Here is an 18,560-nt window from a genome sequence, read left to right on the forward strand (position 1 = left end):
GAGGTGGGAGGACTGATTGAGCCCAGGAGTTCGAGACCAGCCTGGACAAGATGGCGAGACTCTGTCTCTACAAAAAAATTAAAAATCAAGAGATTAAAAAAATCAGCTGTGGCTGGCTGCAGTGGCTCACGCCTGTAATCCCAGCACTTTGGGAGGCTGAGGTGGGTGGATCACGAGGTCAGGAGATCGAGACCATCCTGGCTAACACAGTGAAACCCTGTCTCTACTAAAAAATACAAAAAAAAAAAAAAAAAAAAATTAGCCGGGCATGGTGGCGGGCACCTGTAGTCCCAGCTACTCAGGAGGCTGAGGCAGGAGAATGGCAAGAACCCAGGAGGCAGAGCTTGCAGTGAGCTGAGATTGTGCCACTGCACTCCGGACTGGGCGACAGAGAGAGACTCCATCTCAAAAAAGAAAAAAAAAAAAAAAACCAGCTGAGCACGGTGGCAAATTCCTACAGTCCCAGCTCCTTGGGAAGCTGAGGTGAGAGTGTCCCTTGAGCCTAAGAATTCGAGGCTACAGTGAGCTATGATTGCACCACTGCACTCCAGCCTGGGTGACAGAGTGACACCCCATATCTAAAATAAACAAACATATAGATAAATAAAATACAACTTACAAGTAAAGAAACAATAGCATTATTCCCTTTTTAACAAGTCTTGGAGTATTTTAAATTTATGCTTATATTACTAGCCTCGTTATCAAAATACTTGAGTGTGTTTACAAGCCCTTGGGTGATATGGTCTAGTGACATACAAAATTAATTCCATAAAGTGACAGAAATAAACCAGATGGCACAAATCTCTTTGAACAAGATATATGCTTTTGTGAAAGAACACTTTAATTTTGTGCTTTAATCAGCATTAACTGACTTTCTACTGTTAAACCAATCTTGTGTTTTTAGGATTAAGCCAATGGGGTAGCTGAATAGTATTTTTTAATACATTGTTGGATCTGGCCTACTAAAACTTTCACTTAAGATTTTTCATCTTATGTTCATGAATGAGATTGGTTTATAATTTTTCTTTCTTGAACTAACCTTGTCAAATTTTATATCAAGATTATGACAGTCATTATACTCCATAATTATATAAGACTGTAAATTTTACTTCATTGTGATATAATTTTAAATCCATCTAGCCTGATGGTTTTCTTTTTGAAAAGAATTCTAAATATAGACTAATTTTTAAAATTGGTTATAGACTATTCAGATTATCTATTTTTTCTTGAGTTAGTTTTACAATAACAACTTTACTGAGCCATATTCATATACCATACTTTCACCCATTTAAAGTATACAATTCATTTTTTTTCTGTTTTGTTTTGTTTTTTTGTTTGTTTTTTTGAGATGGAGTCTCGCTCTGTCGCCAGGCTGGAGTGCAATGGCGTGATCTCAGCTCACTGCAAGCTCCACCTCCTGGGTTCACACCATTCTCCTGCTTCAGCCTCCTGAGTAGCTGGGACTACAGGTGCGCACCACTACGCCCAGCTAATTTTTGTATTTCTAGTAGAGATGGGGTTTCACCACGTTGGCCAGGATGGTCTCTATCTGTTGACCTCGTGATCCGCCCACCTCAGCCTCCCAAAGTGCTGGGATTACAGGCGTGAGCCACCATGCCTGGCCCATTGTTTTTTTGTTATTGTTCTTGTTTTTGAGACAGTTTCGCTCCTCAGTCAGGCTGGAGTGCAGTGGTGCGATCTCCGCTCACTGCAACCTCTGCCTCCCGGGTTCAAGTGATTCTCCTGCCTCAGCCTCCAGAGTAGCTGGGATTACAGGCATGCGCCACCACGACCAGCTAATTTTTGTATTATTAGTAGAGACGGGGTTTCACCATGTTGTCCAGGCTGGTCTCAAACTCCTGACCTCAGGTGATCCACCCATCTTGGCTTCCCAAAGTGCTGGGATTACAAGTGTGAGTCACCGCAGCTGGCCAATTCATTGATTTTTAGTAAATTCATATAATTATGCAACAACTACCACTATCTAAAACCAGATTCTAGGAAATTTTCATCACTCCAAAAAGAAACCCTGTATTCATTATCAGTCACTCCCACTTTCCCCCTAACTCCCAGTCCTAGGCAACCACCAATCTACTTTCTGTCTCTATAGATTTGCCCATTCTGGACATTTCATAAAAGTGGAATCAAAATATGTGGTCCTCTGTTTGAAGGTATCCTCACTAGCCATCCTGCCTCAAGACAGCCTGCCAGCCCACCCTGCTGATTTCACTCTACAACGTCAACTCTGACCTCGATTTCCTGGTTTCTACCCTGCTGGTCAGCCCTATAAAAACTTCCAGGCTGCCAGCCCCCATGAGCTTAAATTGATATTTCAAAAATCAGACTAGTATATTCTGGACTGAAGTGGGCAGGATCCTGGGCCTCAAGATGAACAAGCCCTGGTCTGCCCACGCCTGAGCAGGACAGGAAGGGCTTCGTGGATAAGGAGAATCTTGTTGTCTTTAAAGGGAATTATTTTGAGGCTCTTCCCCTGAACTGGCAGACTAACATCTATATAAGGCCGACTTGGGCTTGGAGTATGGCCTGGAGTGCTTCCATTCTGCTATAGGGACAATGACATATTCTCAAAATATTCCTTTTTTCTTTTGAGACAGAGTCTTGCTCTGTCGCCCAGGCTAGAGTGCAGTGGCACGATCTCCACTCACTGCAACCTCCGCCTCCCAGGTTCAAGCAATTCTCGTGCCTCATCCTCCTGAGTAGATGGAACCACAGGTGCGTGCCACCATGCCCATCTAACTTTTTGTATTTTAGCAAAGAAGGGGTTTCACCATGTTGCCCAGGGTGGTCTCAAACTTCTAAGCTTGGGCAATCTGCCCATCTCAGCCTCCCAAAGGGCTAGGATTACAGGCATGAGCCACCTTGCCCAGCTTCCTAACTCTTAAATAGCTTACCAGGTTGTTTTCATGTCCTGGTCTGGCACTCAGTATTTACTCAAGCTTTGAACATGAACACCCTCTGTTGGAAAATTACTAGCAGTCCTAACCCAAATGCTACGAAGGGAATTCCTGGTTTCTGACAAGTTTCAGTGCTCACCTAAGTTATTGAAAAATCACTTCTCTGGACCAGAAGTTTATATTCCACTAGGAACACCGCTCTATAAATTGCCCCAATTACTTGCTTACTAGTATTTTGTGTTTCTTTTTTCCTCCACCCCTGTTAATACAATATCCCTCTTAATAAGTTCATTTTTCTTTTTGGAAAAATAAGATAAAACATGTGGTTCTTTGTGAGGCTTCTTTCACTTATCATAGTGTTTTTATGGTTTATTTATGTTATAACATGTATCAGTACTTCACTTCTTTTTGTTATCAAATAACATTTATCCATTCATCAGTTGATGGACATTTGGGTTGTTTCTACTTTTCAGCTATCAGGGAAAATGGTGTATGAATATTCATGTATGTTTTCATGTGGATACACAGTTTCATTGATTTTGGGCTTATAGCTAGCTATGGAATTGCTGGTTAACCTTTTGAGGAACTGGTAATGGCACCATTTTACATTCCTACCAGCAACTTATAAGGGTTCCTATTTATCCAGATCCTCACTAACATTTGTTATTGTCCATCTTTCTGATTATGGCCTTATAGCCATCCTAGTGGTAGCAGGTGTGAAGTGTTATCTTTTTTTTTTCCTTAGAGACAGTCTCACCATGTTGCCCAGGCTAGAACACGACTATTCACAGGCGCAATCATAGTACACTGAGGCCTTGAACTCCGCACTTCCAGTAATCTTCCCACCTCAGTGGCCTGAGTAGCTGGGACTACAGGCATGTACTTGTGTGCCCATTTTCTTTGTGGTTTTTGCTTTGCATTTTCCTGATGACTAAACATATTGCGCATCTTTTCATGTGCTTATTGGCCACTGGAATGCAATGGTGCAATCATAGCTTACTGCTGCCTCGAATTCCTGGGCTTTAGGCATCCTCCTGCCTCAGTCTCCTGAGTAGCTGAGACTACAGGCATGCACCACCATGCCCAGATAATTTTTACAATTTTTTTGTAGAGATGAAGTCTCACCATCTTGCCTAGGCTGCTCTCGAATTTCTGGGCTCAAGCAATCTCTACCTCAGAGTTCTCAAAGTGCTGGGATTATAGGTGTGAGCCACTGTACTTGGCTATCACTTTCTTGATGGTGTTCCCTGAAACATGGAAATTTTAAATTTTGATGTCGACTTCATCTTTTCTCTTGTTGATTGTACCTCTGGTGTCATATTTAAAGTCACAAAGATTTACATCTGTTTTCTTCTAAGGATCTTATAGTTTTAGCTCTTACATTTAGGTCTTGATTCACTATATGGTATGAGGTAGGGCTCCAACTTCTTTGGGATGTGTCTAGATGTCCAGCACCATTTGTGGAAAACACTATCCTTTTTCCATTAAATTTTCCTGGCACTCTTGTTAAAAATCAATTAATTGTAAATGAGAGGGTCTATTTCTGGATTCTCCATTCTATTCCATTAATCTTTATGTCTATTCTTATGCCATATAAAGACAGTACCACACTGTATAGTAAGTTTTGAAAGTGGAAAGTGTGAATCCTCCAACTTACTCTTCTTTTTCAAGAGTGCTTTGGCTATTCTGGGTCCCTTGAATTTCCATATCAATTTTAGAACCAGCTTGTCAATTTCTGCAAAGAAGCCAGCTGTGGTTTTGATAGGGATTGCATTGAATCTGTAGATAAGTTTAGGGAGTATTATCATGTTAACAGTATTGTCTTCTGGTCCATAACCGTGAGATGGCTTTCAATTTATTTAGTTCTTCCTTTATGTCTTTCAACAATGTTTTATAGTTTTCAAAGTGTAAGTTTTGCACTTATTTTGTTAAATTTATTCCTAAATGTTTTATTCTTTGTTACCATAAATGTCTCAAGTCAATTTTAATAAGCTCTGCTTTTGTAGGTGCCTGTTCATTTCATCAAAGTTTTCCAATTTGTTGTCATAAAATTGTAATACCTTGAATCAGTGTTCAACCAAAAAAATAGAACTGGTAGGAAATATATATAAGATTTCTTGCAATGAATTGGATCACATAATTATGGGGGCTGGCACGGCAAGTCTAAAACCCTAAATCCCATGCCAGACCTTCAGGATTGGCAGGCTAGAAGCCTTGGGCATGAGATGAAGTTGCTACCCACAGGTATAATTTCTTCTTTTTCCTCAGGGGAGCCTCAGTTTTGCTCTTACGGCCTTTGAACTGATTAAATCAGGCCCATACAGATGATCTAGGATAGTCTCTCTGCCTCAAATCCAACTGATCATGAATTTTAATATCCATAAAATACCTTCACAACATATAAGTCAGTATTTGATTGAATATTGGTGACTCTAGCTTAGCCAATTTGACACACAAAACTGACCACAAGCTTCTTCTTTATATCTGTATCATTTGTAGTTAATAAATCTCTTTTCATTCCTAAGATCATTTTTGTGCTTTTCTCTCATCTTGATCAATGTAATATGAATATTAACAAGTGTAACTGTGTCTTCCTTACTTTATATAATAGATATCAAAGACTTATGATTGATTACTAACTTAAAATCATAAGGCACCTTAAACTCTGTCTTAAGTATAAAATGTTTTCACATAATTGTGATTTTAGGCCAAAGACCGAGTTCCAGATGTGGCTAGAAGAAAATAGAAGTAATATTTTGTCTGACAATCCTGACTTTTCAGATGAAGCAGACATAATTTTTCTAATTCATTAATCTATCAAAAGACCAACTTTTGGCTTTTTTAAATTCCATTATGTTTATTTCCTATTCCATCAGTTTTTGTCCTTTATAATACAGTCCCAAAGTGGGTAGAAATTAGTGTCAATCCCAGAATACCACCTTCTACCCATTTTGGCACAGGCCATCCTTCAAATTCTAAGCTTGGGACCGGGAGCAGTGGCTCACACCTGTAATCCAAGCACTTTGGAAGGCCGAGGCAGGCAGATCATTTGAGGTCAGGAGTTTGAGACCAGCCTGGCCACCACGGCGAAACCTTGTCTCTCTACTAAAAACACAAAAATTAGCTGGGCATGGTGGCGCACATCTATAATCCAAGCTACTCAGGAGGCCGAGGCCAGAGAATCACTTGAACCCAAAAGGCAGAGGCTGCAGTGAACCAAGATCATGCCATTGCACTCCAGCCTGGGCAACAGAAAGACTGTCTCAAACAAAGACACACAGGAGTTTGAGACCAGCCTGGGCAACATGATGAAACCCATCTATGTAAAAAAATACAAAAACTAGCCAGGTGTGGTGGCATTTGCCTATACTCCCAGCTACTTGGGGCTGAAGCAGGAGGATCACCTCAGCCCAGGGAGGTCAAGGCTACAATGAGTTGTGACTGTGCCACTGCACTTCAGCCTGGGTGACAGAGAGAGACCCTGTCTTTAAAATAAATAAATAAATAAATAAATAAATAAAAGTATTTACCTCTAATAATTAAATACAATGCATGATTCTCGATTGGATCCTAAACTGGGGGTAAAAATGGCTAACGGCACTTTGAGGGAAATTTTATTATAAAATACAGGCTATGTAATAATATCATCTGTTAAATTTCTTTGGAGTAATTATGGCATTGTAATTATGCAGAAGAAAATCTTTATTCTTAGGGTACATGCTGGGAACTGAGGGATGAAGTATATGCATATTCCAAATGGTTCAGGAAAAATCCTGTCTATAAAGCATACATGATAAAATGTCAACAATAAGACAAACTAGAGGAAGGATATACAGGTGCTTACTGTCAAATTTCAAATTTTCTGTAGGTTTGAGAGATTCAAGATGAAAACTTGGGGGAAAATTATATATTCTGATAATAAAACAGATGGGAAACAAAGAGGGCCCATAAGACAGTCACTGATTAAGATGCTTTCTACATGGATGGGCCTCATCCTTTTGTCCAAAGGGACTACCTGGCATCTGTTCCATGTTAGTGACAGTGACTCACCCCAGGTTGCTGCACAGATATGAGAGGCTTTAGATCATAGCACAGTCCCCAGAGCTGCACATAACCCCAGTGCCTATTCACTTGTTCTCCAAAATAAATCTGTAAAGTAACCTCCTGTGAGGAGTTTTTGCTTTTGGAGAATAAAATTAAGTATATGTCAATTTTCTATAGTATACAATAAGCTCAAGTAGGCAATATTATTGATATGATGATGATTAATAATTAATTTATTTCCATTTTCACTTTCATACTATTCAGTCCCAATTCTCTGGAAAAAAAAAAAAGAACACTGGAAAAAAACAGGTTTACTATTATATAGCAGAGAAATAAGGATAATGTTTCTTGGTTTCAAAGTTCTGATTTGTAAGTTAAACCAAGTCAATACAAAAACCTTCCTTCAGCCAAAAAAAAGTAGGGAAGTAAAAACCCTTTTGTAAATCCTTGTTATTAGGTTGCTATGAATCTGAAATACAATATACACAGATTATATCCTTAAGCATTAGGTTGGCACAAAAGAAATCGCGGTTTTTGCCACTGAAATGGCGAAACTGCATTTACTTTTATATCAACCTAGTATTATAAAATATATACAAAGCAAGTTGAGGAACCAAACACAAAATACATGTCTACAAACATGCTTTCCAATGTACTATAAATAAACCTTTACTTAAGATCTTGAAATCAAAATTAGTTTGTATAGTATTCAGAATCAAACCTAATGACAAAGCAAGATGAAATAACCAACAGCATCATCATTATCAGAATAGTAACTAACATTTATATAAAAGATTACTATGTGTCAGAAACTAAGGGCTTTCATTTCATTCAATTCTCATAACAACCTATAAAGTAGGTACTATCATTATATCCATTTTACAGATGAGTGAATGAAGGCTAGAATTTGGGTCACCGGCCCAACATGACCCAACTATTAGTAGTAGGTAGAGAAGCGGGTCTCCGAACCTAGGTAATCTGGCTTTGGAATCTGTGCTCATAACCACTGTGCTATAATGTCTCTGATAGCAGCTACTAATTAAAAAATAAAAAATGTATGTTTTCCTAACTTTAATCATCACCAGATAAGGAATATTCTTGGTTCATTTATGTCTAAATTTTCAACATACTTTTTCCCTTTCAACCTATTAACTATCCTCAATTTTGAGTCAGCTGATTTTATGTGATTGTTTCCTTCCCTCCCACCCCCAGTACACTGCCTTTATGTGGCTGCATTTGTATTAGTCTCTGCTTAGAAAACCAAAAATGTATGACATGATTAAACCTTGTTTGTTCAATATAAAATAAGAGTTAAATACTTTCCATAACTTTGCTCTCTTCTCAGGCCTTCAAAGTCTTGCTCAGTAAAGTACTGTTGATGCTGATAATCAGAGTATCCCACCAAGAGCACATGATGCCTTGGACTGCAATACTGTCACAGCAGTGTCTTCAGTTCTTCTCTACTGTGTATAATGCAGAGCAAAATGGGGGTGGTGGTAGAAATTATGGTAGTAAATATATATTTTCTAGAAATATATCCATTTCGTGGAAAGATAATATTAAGACCATATCAAGCCAAATATACAAATGAGAAAGTTTCATTTACCTCAAAAAAATCCAGGCTATACAAACAGACAACTGAAAGCCACATAGGAAATTTCCGAAACACAAAAGAAAAAGTCTCACCTACAAGATTATTTACATGTTTAGGGCCAGTATTATTAAAAGACGTCATCCCCTAGGTCTAGTAGAAACATATAGAGAAGTCTATGCTAACACACTTGGAAAGAGGACTATTGTCCTTCCTTGCACATGACAAAAACCAAATGAACCAAACCCCTAGAAGGTATTAATGCACAAAGGTTTTAATACCTTGGCTTTAATGATTTTTCAAGGTTAAGAAACAAATTCAAATTGGTTGGAGCTTCAACTCAGTAATTACAATCACAATGCATCTCTGAAAGGCCCTGCATTTGGAGGCAGAGTAATCTGCAAAGATGATAGTTTTTACATATGTCCTGTTACCTACACCAATATAATTACTACATTATCTTATAAAGACAAACAGTTGCTTCAAACTCTTTAAAAAATATATATATAATGAGTTTCCCAAAGACTCGAGTCTATATTCAAAGATGAGTAAAAAAAAATCCATTACTTCCCTAGGGTCACTTTCTTCCTTTACTCCTGCTTAAATGCAAAAGCTGATAGTTTCTGATTTGTAGAAAAATCTAAAGGTTTCTGCTTTTTAGACAAATTCAGGTTCTCTTTTGCTTTTTCTTCCTGGTTTTCTGTTTCATCACTTTCATCAACCACACGTTTTCGCTTCTTTGCTTCAGTTCCTTCACTTGCCGTTTCTCCTTTGGCTTTGTTAGCCCACACCTTTGTAAAATGGCAGGAGTGAAAAGGAAAGATTTTTAGAAAATAACAAATAAGAAGTAAATGATTTATTTACTTTTCCAGGTAATATTTTTATATATAAAGCAGAATAATTAGCACTTGAATTAAGTGTTCTCATTGTTAACAAATCTTTTATTACTTAAATGCAGAGCACATTAAAGATTTACACTACTTTTATATCTCAATCTAAGCTTTGCTTATATTAATCATATTAGTTGCAAAATACTATAATTGCAGTACTATTTAAAAATGAAACTTTTGGCCAGGCACGGTGGCTCATGTCTGTAATCCCAGCACTTTGGGAGGCCGAGGTGGGTGGATCACGGGGTCAGGAGACTGAGACCATCCTGGCTAACACAGTGAAACCCCGTCTCTACTAAAAATACAAAAAAATTAGCCGGGCATGGTAGCGGGCGCCTGTAGTCCCAGCTACTTGGGAGGCTGAGGCAGGAGACTAGAGTGAACCCGGGAGGTGGAGCCTGCAGTGAGCTGAGATCACGCCACTGCACTCCAGCCTGGGCGAGAGCAAGACTCCGTCTCAAAAAATAAATAAATAAATAAATAAATAAATAATAAAAATGAAACTTTTTATTCTAAGATAATTGCAGTTTCACATGCAGTTGTATGAAATAATACAGAAAGATCCTGTGTAGCCTTCACCCAGTTTTCCCCAGTGGTAACATTTTGCAAAACTATAGCCCAACAATCACAACTATAGGGAACTGACATTGAAACAATCCCATTTTACTTCTACTCATTTGAGCGTATGTATGTATTTACTTTTATTGTGGGTTGGTTTGTTTACCACCACAGTCAAAATACAGAACCTCTTCCCCAAGCCCCAACTCCGACTCCAACCCCTGGCAACCACTACTCTATTCTCCATCTTGATCATGTTGTCATTTCAGGAATGTTATATAAATGAGTATATATTCTTTGGGGTTTGGTTTTTATTCACTCAGCAAGAGCCAGACAAGGTCCATTCATTTCATCTGTCTCTAAAATCTCTTTTAATCTATAATAGTTCCCCACTCCTACTTTATTTCCCTGGCCATTTCAAGGGCTCTTCAAGCTGTAGAATTTCTCACATTAACAAACTGGATTTAAGTAAATGTTTAGGGTTTACCTTAAAAATACTGATTACATTTTTAAGTATTCAAAAACACAATCACAGACTTTGCCAAGTCTCTTCCTCTTTTGCAGTGTAAAGTCTTATTTATTTAGACGCCATTTTATTGAACAACAAATGAGAAACATAAAATTGTAAATGAGGTTCTAAATGACGCTAAAGGTGTTTAAACCAGTTTCTGGCTTCCTCATTATGCAACACCTTTTTCATAAAACCCAATTTACCAAAGCAAGTATCTACGTTACTAGGTGCCTGTGCTGCGCCCTGCCATTCCTGGGGAAGTGAAACCTGAGGATTTAACTGGTACACCACACACATTCCTTCCACTTCTAACTGAGAGATTGTGCCTTCCTTCCTTCACATGGCAGAAGTTTATCAGAAGCAAGCCAGCCACCTGTCCTAATTTCCATGTGAAAGGCTGGAACAGAACACCAGTCTTTTTCCCAAAAGGAATAGTCTCATGTAGTATTTAATGTGTAAGTAGATACAATTTTTAAAAATTCTGCTTGCAAGAACCCTAAAGTAGTATTCAAAAAATGTGAATTCATTTTTACTTATTAATTTTTTTCCCCCTAGAGACCCGGTCTCACTCTGTCACCCATGCTGGAGTACAGTGACACAATCACGGCTCACTGCAGCCTTGACCTCCTGGGCTCAAGTAAGTGATCTTCCCACCTCAACCTCCTGAGTAACTGGGACTACAGGTGTGTGCCACCATGCCAGGCTAATTTTTAAATTTTTGTAGAGATGGTGTATCACTATGTTGTCTAGGCTGGTCTCAAACTCCTGGGCTCAAGAGATCCTCCTGCCTTGGCCTCCCAAAGTGCTAGGATTACAGGCTTGAGCCAACGAACTCAGCTTGACACTTTTGATTTTTAACAAATGCATCTTTTCTTGGGGTATTCTCCTAACTTAAAACATACAGGAACTTATAGAGATTAAAACAGTAAACCGTCAAAAAATTAACCATCCAGCCTGGGCAACACAGTGAGAGGTTGTCTCTATAAAAAAAAAAAAGAGGACAATTGCTTGTGCCCAGGAGGTCGAGGTGGCAGTGAGCCATGATCACACCACGACACTCCTGCCTGGGTGAAAGAACAAGACCTGCCTCAAACAAAAACAAAACAAAAAACCCATCACCATTACATAATAATTACTACATATCCATATTACCATATATCCGCACTTACTTTCCTCTTTAAAAAGTTTGGTGGATGTATTCAATTTCCAAAAACAGAAAAAGGCTTTTCCTTTTTTTTTTAGTTGTCATGATCGTTATTATCTTTGTTGTTGTTATTATTATTATTAGAGACGATGTCTCACTATGTTGCCCAGGCTGGTCACGAACTCCTGAGCTCAAGTGATCCGCCTCGACCTCCCAATGTGCTAGGATTACAGGCATAAGACACCATACCCAGCCAAAAGGCATTTCTATAAGAATTTTTTAAATCTGGGAATTCACTAAGATCTCAATCTCGGCACAATTATCCTTACCTTTCTTTCTTCAGTTGACAATACTCTAAATCGAATCATTCCTTCTTTTATTATGTCTGCTTCATCTGAAAAGTCAGGATTGTCAGACAAAATATTACTTCTATTTTCTTCTAACCACATCTGGAACCCGGTCTTTGGCCTAAAATCACAATTATGTGAAAACATTTTATACTTAAGACAGAGTTTAAAGTGCCTCATGATTTTAAGTTAGTAATCAACCATAAGTCTCTGACATCTATTATATAAAGTAAGGAAGACACAGTTACACTTGTTAATTCATGTTACTTTTTTTTTTTTTTTTTTTTTGAGACAGAGTCTCACTCTGTCACCCAGCCTGGAGTGCAATGGCGCGATCTCAGCTCACTGCAACCTCCGCCTCCTGGGTTCAAGCGATTCTCCTGCCTCAGCCTCCCAAGTAGCTGGGATTACAGGCATGCGCCACCACACCTGGCTAATTTTTTGCATGGGGTTTCACCATGTTGGTCAGGCTGGTCTCAAACTCCTGACCTCACGTGATCTGCCCGCCTCGGCTTCCCAAACTGCTGGGATTACAGGCATAAGCCACCGTGCCTGGCCTCATATTACTTTAAACTGCCTGGAGACTGCAGGATCAATGAACTGGAAAATCCTTTGTAAGGTCAATTCAAAAGGATCACTCACGTTTGTATTTTCCAAGTGCAGCAACCATGAACTCTGTACTTTCAACTTTTTAATGAATGTTGACAGGCTCAAGGTCTCCAACCTCACTTAGCCCTTGTGGCCTACCACATGTCCTTGGTAGGCTCTTTTTCTATTTCCCCAAACCAGCTATTTGAATTCCTCACGACTTTTCTCAAGCCCCTTTGCCATCGCCTCACCCTTGCTCTCAGAGCTGACCTGCATCAGCATTAGGTGAAGCACGGACACAGCACATTTGTACATTTCATTAGATTCCACTCACAATACAAATTGTCTTTAAGTCACACAAGTGAAGGTTTAATGCAAATATTTAACATTTACTGATCACTTACTATCTACCAGGCACTACTCTAAAAGCTTTATGTATAGTACCTCATTTAAATGACAATAACACTATGAGATGGATACAGTTATTATCTCCATTCCATAAGTGAGAAAAGGGAGGCTCAGAGATGTGAAATAACCTATCCCAGGTTACACAAACAGTAAAACTCAGACCTGGGATCCAACAACCAGGCAATTTGACTCCAAAGTCTATGTTTTTTTGTAGAGATGGAGTCTAGCTCTTTCCCCTATGCTGGAGTACAGTGGCTCTGTATTGGCTTACTGCAACCTCCACCTTCCAGGTTCAAGTGATTCTCCTGCCTCAGCCTCCCAAACAGCTGGGACTACAGGTACGCGCCACCACACCCAGCTAATTTTTGTATTTTTAGTAAAGACAGGGTTTCACCATATTGGCCAGGTGGGTCTCGAACTCCTGACCTCATGATCCACTCGCCTCGGCCTCCCAAAGTGCTGGGATTACAGGCGTGAGCCACTGTGCCTGGCCCAGAGTCTCTTATGTTTAACCCAGCAGCTATACGCCCCTCACTAGGCTGAACCTAAATGAATCCTAAATAAAAAGTCTAAACTTTTTAAGGTTAAAAAAATTTTTATTAAAAAATTACTAGTATGACCATAACCATTTGCCCAATTTCTGAAAATATGCAAATTTTAAGTAATCTTAACGTAAACCGATTTCCAGAAAAATAACAGAACAAATCAAAACAAGTAAAAATCAAGGTATAACAAAGGTTCCTGAATTTCCAAAAATTAATGAAGACCCATTTTAATGAAACTTGGGGCAATGTCACAAGTCTACTTAGTGGCCTGCAATCATCTACTTCTAAACAGCTATTTTTAAAAAGAAAACCAAAATTGAACATTTCTTTCTTTGTTTTTTAAAGAGACGTGAGTCTCACTATGTTGCCTAGGCTGGCCTCAAACTTCTGGGCTTAAGCAACCCTTCTGACTCAACCTTCTGAGTGGCTAGGACTACAAGAGTGCACAGCCACCTGGCTAAAACTGGACATTTCTGATTAAGTATATCAACATCTGTGACAAAATATTAGTTTCAATAGTGGTAATTCCTTAAAATTTCAAAAGTAAGTTTTTTGTATAACCAACTGATAGTATGAAAAATTAAATTATCAATCTTCTTTGTTGTTGTTTTAAGAGAAAGGGTCTTGCTTTGTCGCCCAGGCTGGAGTGCAGTGGTATAATCAGCTCACTGCCACCTCAAATTCCTGGGCTCAAGCAATCCTCCTGCCTCAGACTCTCAAGCAGTTGGGACTACAGGCATGTGCCACCACACACACCTGGCTGATTTTAAAACTTTTGGTAGAGATGGGGTCTCCCTACATTGCCCAGGCTGGTTCCAATCTCCTGGGCTGAAGCTAACTGATCATGTTGGCCTTCCAAAGTGTTAGGCTTGGCCAGGTGTGGTGGCTCACACCTGTAACCCCAGCACTTTGGGAAGCCGAGATGGGCAAATCGCTTGAGGCCAAGAGTTTGAGACCAGCCTGGCCAACGTGGCAAACTCCATCTCTACCAAAAAATAACAAAATTAGTGGGCATGGTGGCACACACCTGTAATCCCAGCTACTCAGGAGGCTGAGGCATGAGAATTGCTTGAACCCAGAAGGTGGAGGTTGCAGTGAGCTGAGATTGCACCAGTGGACTCCAGCCTTGGTGACAGGGCAAGACTGTCTCAAAAAAAGTGTTAGGCGGGCCAGGCATGGTGGCTCACACCTGTAATCCCTGCACTTTGGGAGGCCAAGGCGGGTGGATCACCTGAGGTCAGGAGTTCAAGACCAGCCTGACCAACATGGAGAAACCTCATCTCTACTAAAAATACAAAATTAGTCGGGCATGGTTGCGCATGCCTGTAATCACAGCTACTCAGGAGGCTGAGACAGGAGAATCACTTGAACCCAGAGGCAGAGGTTGCAGTGAGCCGAGATTGTGCCATTGCATTGCAGTCTGGGCAACAAGAGCAAAAAGAAAAAAGTGTTAAGCGGAAAAAAAACCATGAGCCACTATGCCCGGCCTATCAATTTTCTTAAATAAAATTTTCACTGTTTAAGACCTAAATTAAATTCAGAACAAAACAGGAAATGTGAAAACCACAGCCACTCCCTCAAACTGGTTAACATAAAGTCATTAAGAAAATAAGATATACTTTATTATTATTTTTCTCCCTGGACTGTTCAGCATGAGAAAAATGAGATATATTATGGTAAAAATGAAATTGTGACTGTTCTTTTCTTTTTGTTTTTTCTGAGATGGAGTCTCACTCTGTTGCCCAGGCTGGAGTGCAGTGGCACAATCTTGGCTCATTGCAGCCTCCGTCTCCTGTGTTCAAGCGATTCTCCTGCCTCAGCCTCCCAAGTAGCTGGGATTACAGGCATGAGCCACCATACCTGGCAAACTTTTGTATTTTTAATAGAGATGGGGTTTCACCATGTTGGCCAGGCTGGTCTCGAACTCTTGACCTCAAGTGATCCGCCCACCTCAGCCTCCCAAAGTGCTGGGATTACAGGCGTGAGCCACTGTGCCAGGCCAAAATTGTGACTTTTCAAATTTAACGGATATATTAAAAATAAGGCCAGGAGTGGTGGCTCACACCTGTAATTCCAGCACTTTGGGAGGCCAAGGTGGGCAGATCACCTGAGGTCAGGAGTTTGAGACCAGCCTGACCAACATGGAGAAACCTCGTCTCTACTAAAGATACAAAATTAAGCGGTTCCAAGATGGTCGAATAGGAAGAGCTTCAGCCTACAGCTCCCAGCATGAGCGATGCAGAAGACGGGTGATTTCTGCACTTCCAACTGAGGTACCAGGTTCATCTCACTAGGGCTTGTCGGACAGTGGGCGCAGAACAGGGGGTGTGGCACACCGAGTGTGAGCTGAAGCAGGGCAAGGCATCACCTCACCCGGGAAGCGCAAGGGGTCAGAAAATTCCCTTTCCTAGCCAAGCAAAGCTGTGACACACAGCACCTGGAAAATTGGGTCACCCCCACCCTAATACTGTGCTTTTCCAATGGTCTTAGCAAACGGCACACCAGGAGATTATATCCCACTCCTGGCTCAGAGGGTCCCATGCCCATGGAGCCTCACTCATTGCTAGCACAGCAGTCTGAGATTGAACTACAAGGCGGCAGCCTCAGCCAGGAAACTCGAACTGGGTGGAGCCCACTGAAGCTCAAGGAGTCCTGCCTGCCTCTGTGGACTCCACCTCTGGGGGCAGGGCATAGCCGAACAAAGGCAGCAGAAACCTCTACAGATTTAAATGTCCCTGTCTGACAGCTTTGAAGAGAGTAGTGGTTCTCCCAGCACAGAGTTTGAGATCTGAGAATGGACAGACTGCCTCCTCAGTGACAGGTGGGTCCATGATCCACAAGTAGCCTAACTGGGAGGCACCCCCCAGTAGGGGCAGACTGACACCTCACACGGCCGGGTACCCCTCTGAGACGAGGCTTCCAGAGGAATGACCAGGCAGCAACATTTGCTGTTCACCAATATTTGCTGTTCTGCAGCCTCCGCTGCTGATACCCAGGCAGAGTCTGGAGTGGGCCTCCAGCAAACTCCAACAGACCTGCAGCTGAGGGTCCTGACTGTTAGAAGGAAAACTAACAAACAAAAAGGACATCCATACCAAAACCCCATGTGTACGTCACCATCATCAAAGACCAAAGATAGATGAAACCATAAAGATTGGGGAAAAAACAGAGCAAAAAAGCTGAAAATTCTAAAAATCAGAGCACCTCTCCCCCCCCAAAGGAACGCAGCTCCTCACCAGCAACGGAACAAAGCTGGACGGAGAATGACTTTGACGAGTTGAGAGAAGAAGGCTTCAGACGATCAAACCTCTCCGAGCTAAAGGAGGAAGTTCGAACGCATCGCAAAGGAGCTAAAAACCTTGAAAAAAGATTAGACGAATGGCTAACTAGAATAACCAGTGTAGAGAACTCCTCAAATGACCTGATGGAGCTGAAAACCATGGCACGAGAACTACGTGACGAATGCACAAGCCTCAGTAGCCAATTCAATCAACTGGAAGAAAGGGTATCAGTGATCAAAGATCAAATGAATGAAATGAAGCGAGAAGAAAAGTTTAGAGAAAAAAGAGTAAAAAGAAACAAACAAAGCCTCCAAGAAATATGGGACTATGTGAAAAGACCAAATCTACGTTTGTTTGGTGTACCTGAAAGTGACAGGGAGAATGGAACCAAGTTGGAAAACACTCTGCAGGATACTATCCAGGAGAACTTCCCCAACCTAGCAAGGCAGGCCAACATTCAAATTCAGGAAATACAGAGAATGCCACAAAGATACTCCTCGAGAAGAGCAACTCCAAGACACATAATTGTCAGATTCACCAAAGTTGAAATGAAAGAAAAAATGTTCAGAGAGAAAGGTTAGGTTACCCACAAAGGGAAGCCCATCAGACTAACAGCTGATCTCTCGGCAGAAACTCTATGAGCCAGAAGAGAGTGGGGGCCAATATTCAACATTCTTAAAGAAAAGAATTTTCAACTCAGAATTTCATATCCAGCCAAACTAAGCTTCATAAGTGAAGGAGAAATAAAATCCTTTACAGACAAGCAAATGCTGAGAGATTTTGTCACCACCACGCCTGCCCTACAAGAGCTCCTGAAAGAAGCACTAAACATGGAAAGGAACAACCGGTACCAGCCACTGAAAAAACATGCCAAATTGTAAAGACCATCAAGGCTAGGAAGAAACTGCATCAATTAATGAGCAAAGTAACCAGCTAACATCATAATGACAGGATCAAATTCACACATAACAATATTAACCTTAAATGTAAATGGGCTAAATGCTCCAATTAAAAGACACAGAATGGCAAATTGGATAAAGAGTCAAGACCCATCAGTGTGCTGTATTCAGGAGACCCATGTCATGTGCAGAGACACACATAAGCTCAAAATAAAGGGATGGAGGAAGATCTACCAAGCAAATGGAAAACAACAAAAGGCAGGGGTTGCAATCCTAGTCTCTGATAAAACAGACTTTAAACCAACAAAGATCAAAAGAGACAAAGAAGGCCATTACATAATGGTAAAGGGATCAATTCAATTCAACAAGAAGAGCTAACTATCCTAAATATATATGCACCCAATACAGGAGCACCCAGATTCATAAACCAAGTCCTTAGAGACCTACAAAGAGACTTAGACTCCCACGCAATAATAATGGGAGACTTTAACACCCCACTGTCAACATTAGACAGATCAACGAGACAAAGTTAACAAGGATATCCAGGAATTGAACTCAGCTCTGCACCAAGCAGACCTAACAGACATCTACGGAACTCTCCACCCCAAATCAACAGAATATACATTCTTCTGAGCACCACATCGCACTTATTCCAACACTGACCACATAGTTGGAAGTAAAGCACTCCTCAGCAAATGTAAAAGAACAGAAATTATAACAAACTGTCTCTCAGACCACAGTGCAATCAAACTAGAACTCAGCATTAGGAAACTCACCCAAAACTGCTCAACCACATGGAAACTGAACAACCTGCTCCTGAATGACTACTGGGTACATAA

At 40.5% G+C, this 18,560-nt stretch overlaps 1 protein-coding gene across 4 annotated transcripts in view, besides 1 other annotated feature; it reads right to left on the bottom strand.

Moving 5' to 3' along the window:
- Positions 1–6,599: 6,599 nt before the first annotated feature.
- WDHD1 (WD repeat and HMG-box DNA binding protein 1) overlaps positions 6,600–18,560 on the bottom strand; it is an 88,151-nt gene continuing 76,190 nt past the window's right edge. For all 4 annotated transcript variants that reach the window (NM_001008396.3, XM_006720012.2, NM_007086.4 and 1 more), the window contains 2 exons: positions 11,983–12,121; positions 6,600–9,341 (listed from right to left, as the gene is read on the bottom strand). In NM_001008396.3, the coding sequence (NP_001008397.1) occupies positions 9,141–9,341; positions 11,983–12,121 (340 nt within the window). In that variant the 3' untranslated portion in view covers positions 6,600–9,140. The remainder of the gene's footprint in view (positions 9,342–11,982; positions 12,122–18,560) is intronic.
- Positions 12,522–12,816: an enhancer, noted in NCBI's record as "tiled region #2393; HepG2 Activating DNase matched - State 5:Enh". NCBI's record gives its function as "activates a minimal TATA promoter and a strong SV40 promoter by Sharpr-MPRA in HepG2 cells {active_cell/tissue: HepG2}" and the evidence as "EXISTENCE:reporter gene assay evidence [ECO:0000049][PMID:27701403]".

The sequence above is a fragment of the Homo sapiens genome, chromosome 14 (assembly GCF_000001405.40).
Source record: "Homo sapiens chromosome 14, GRCh38.p14 Primary Assembly".
NCBI lineage: Eukaryota > Metazoa > Chordata > Mammalia > Primates > Hominidae > Homo > Homo sapiens.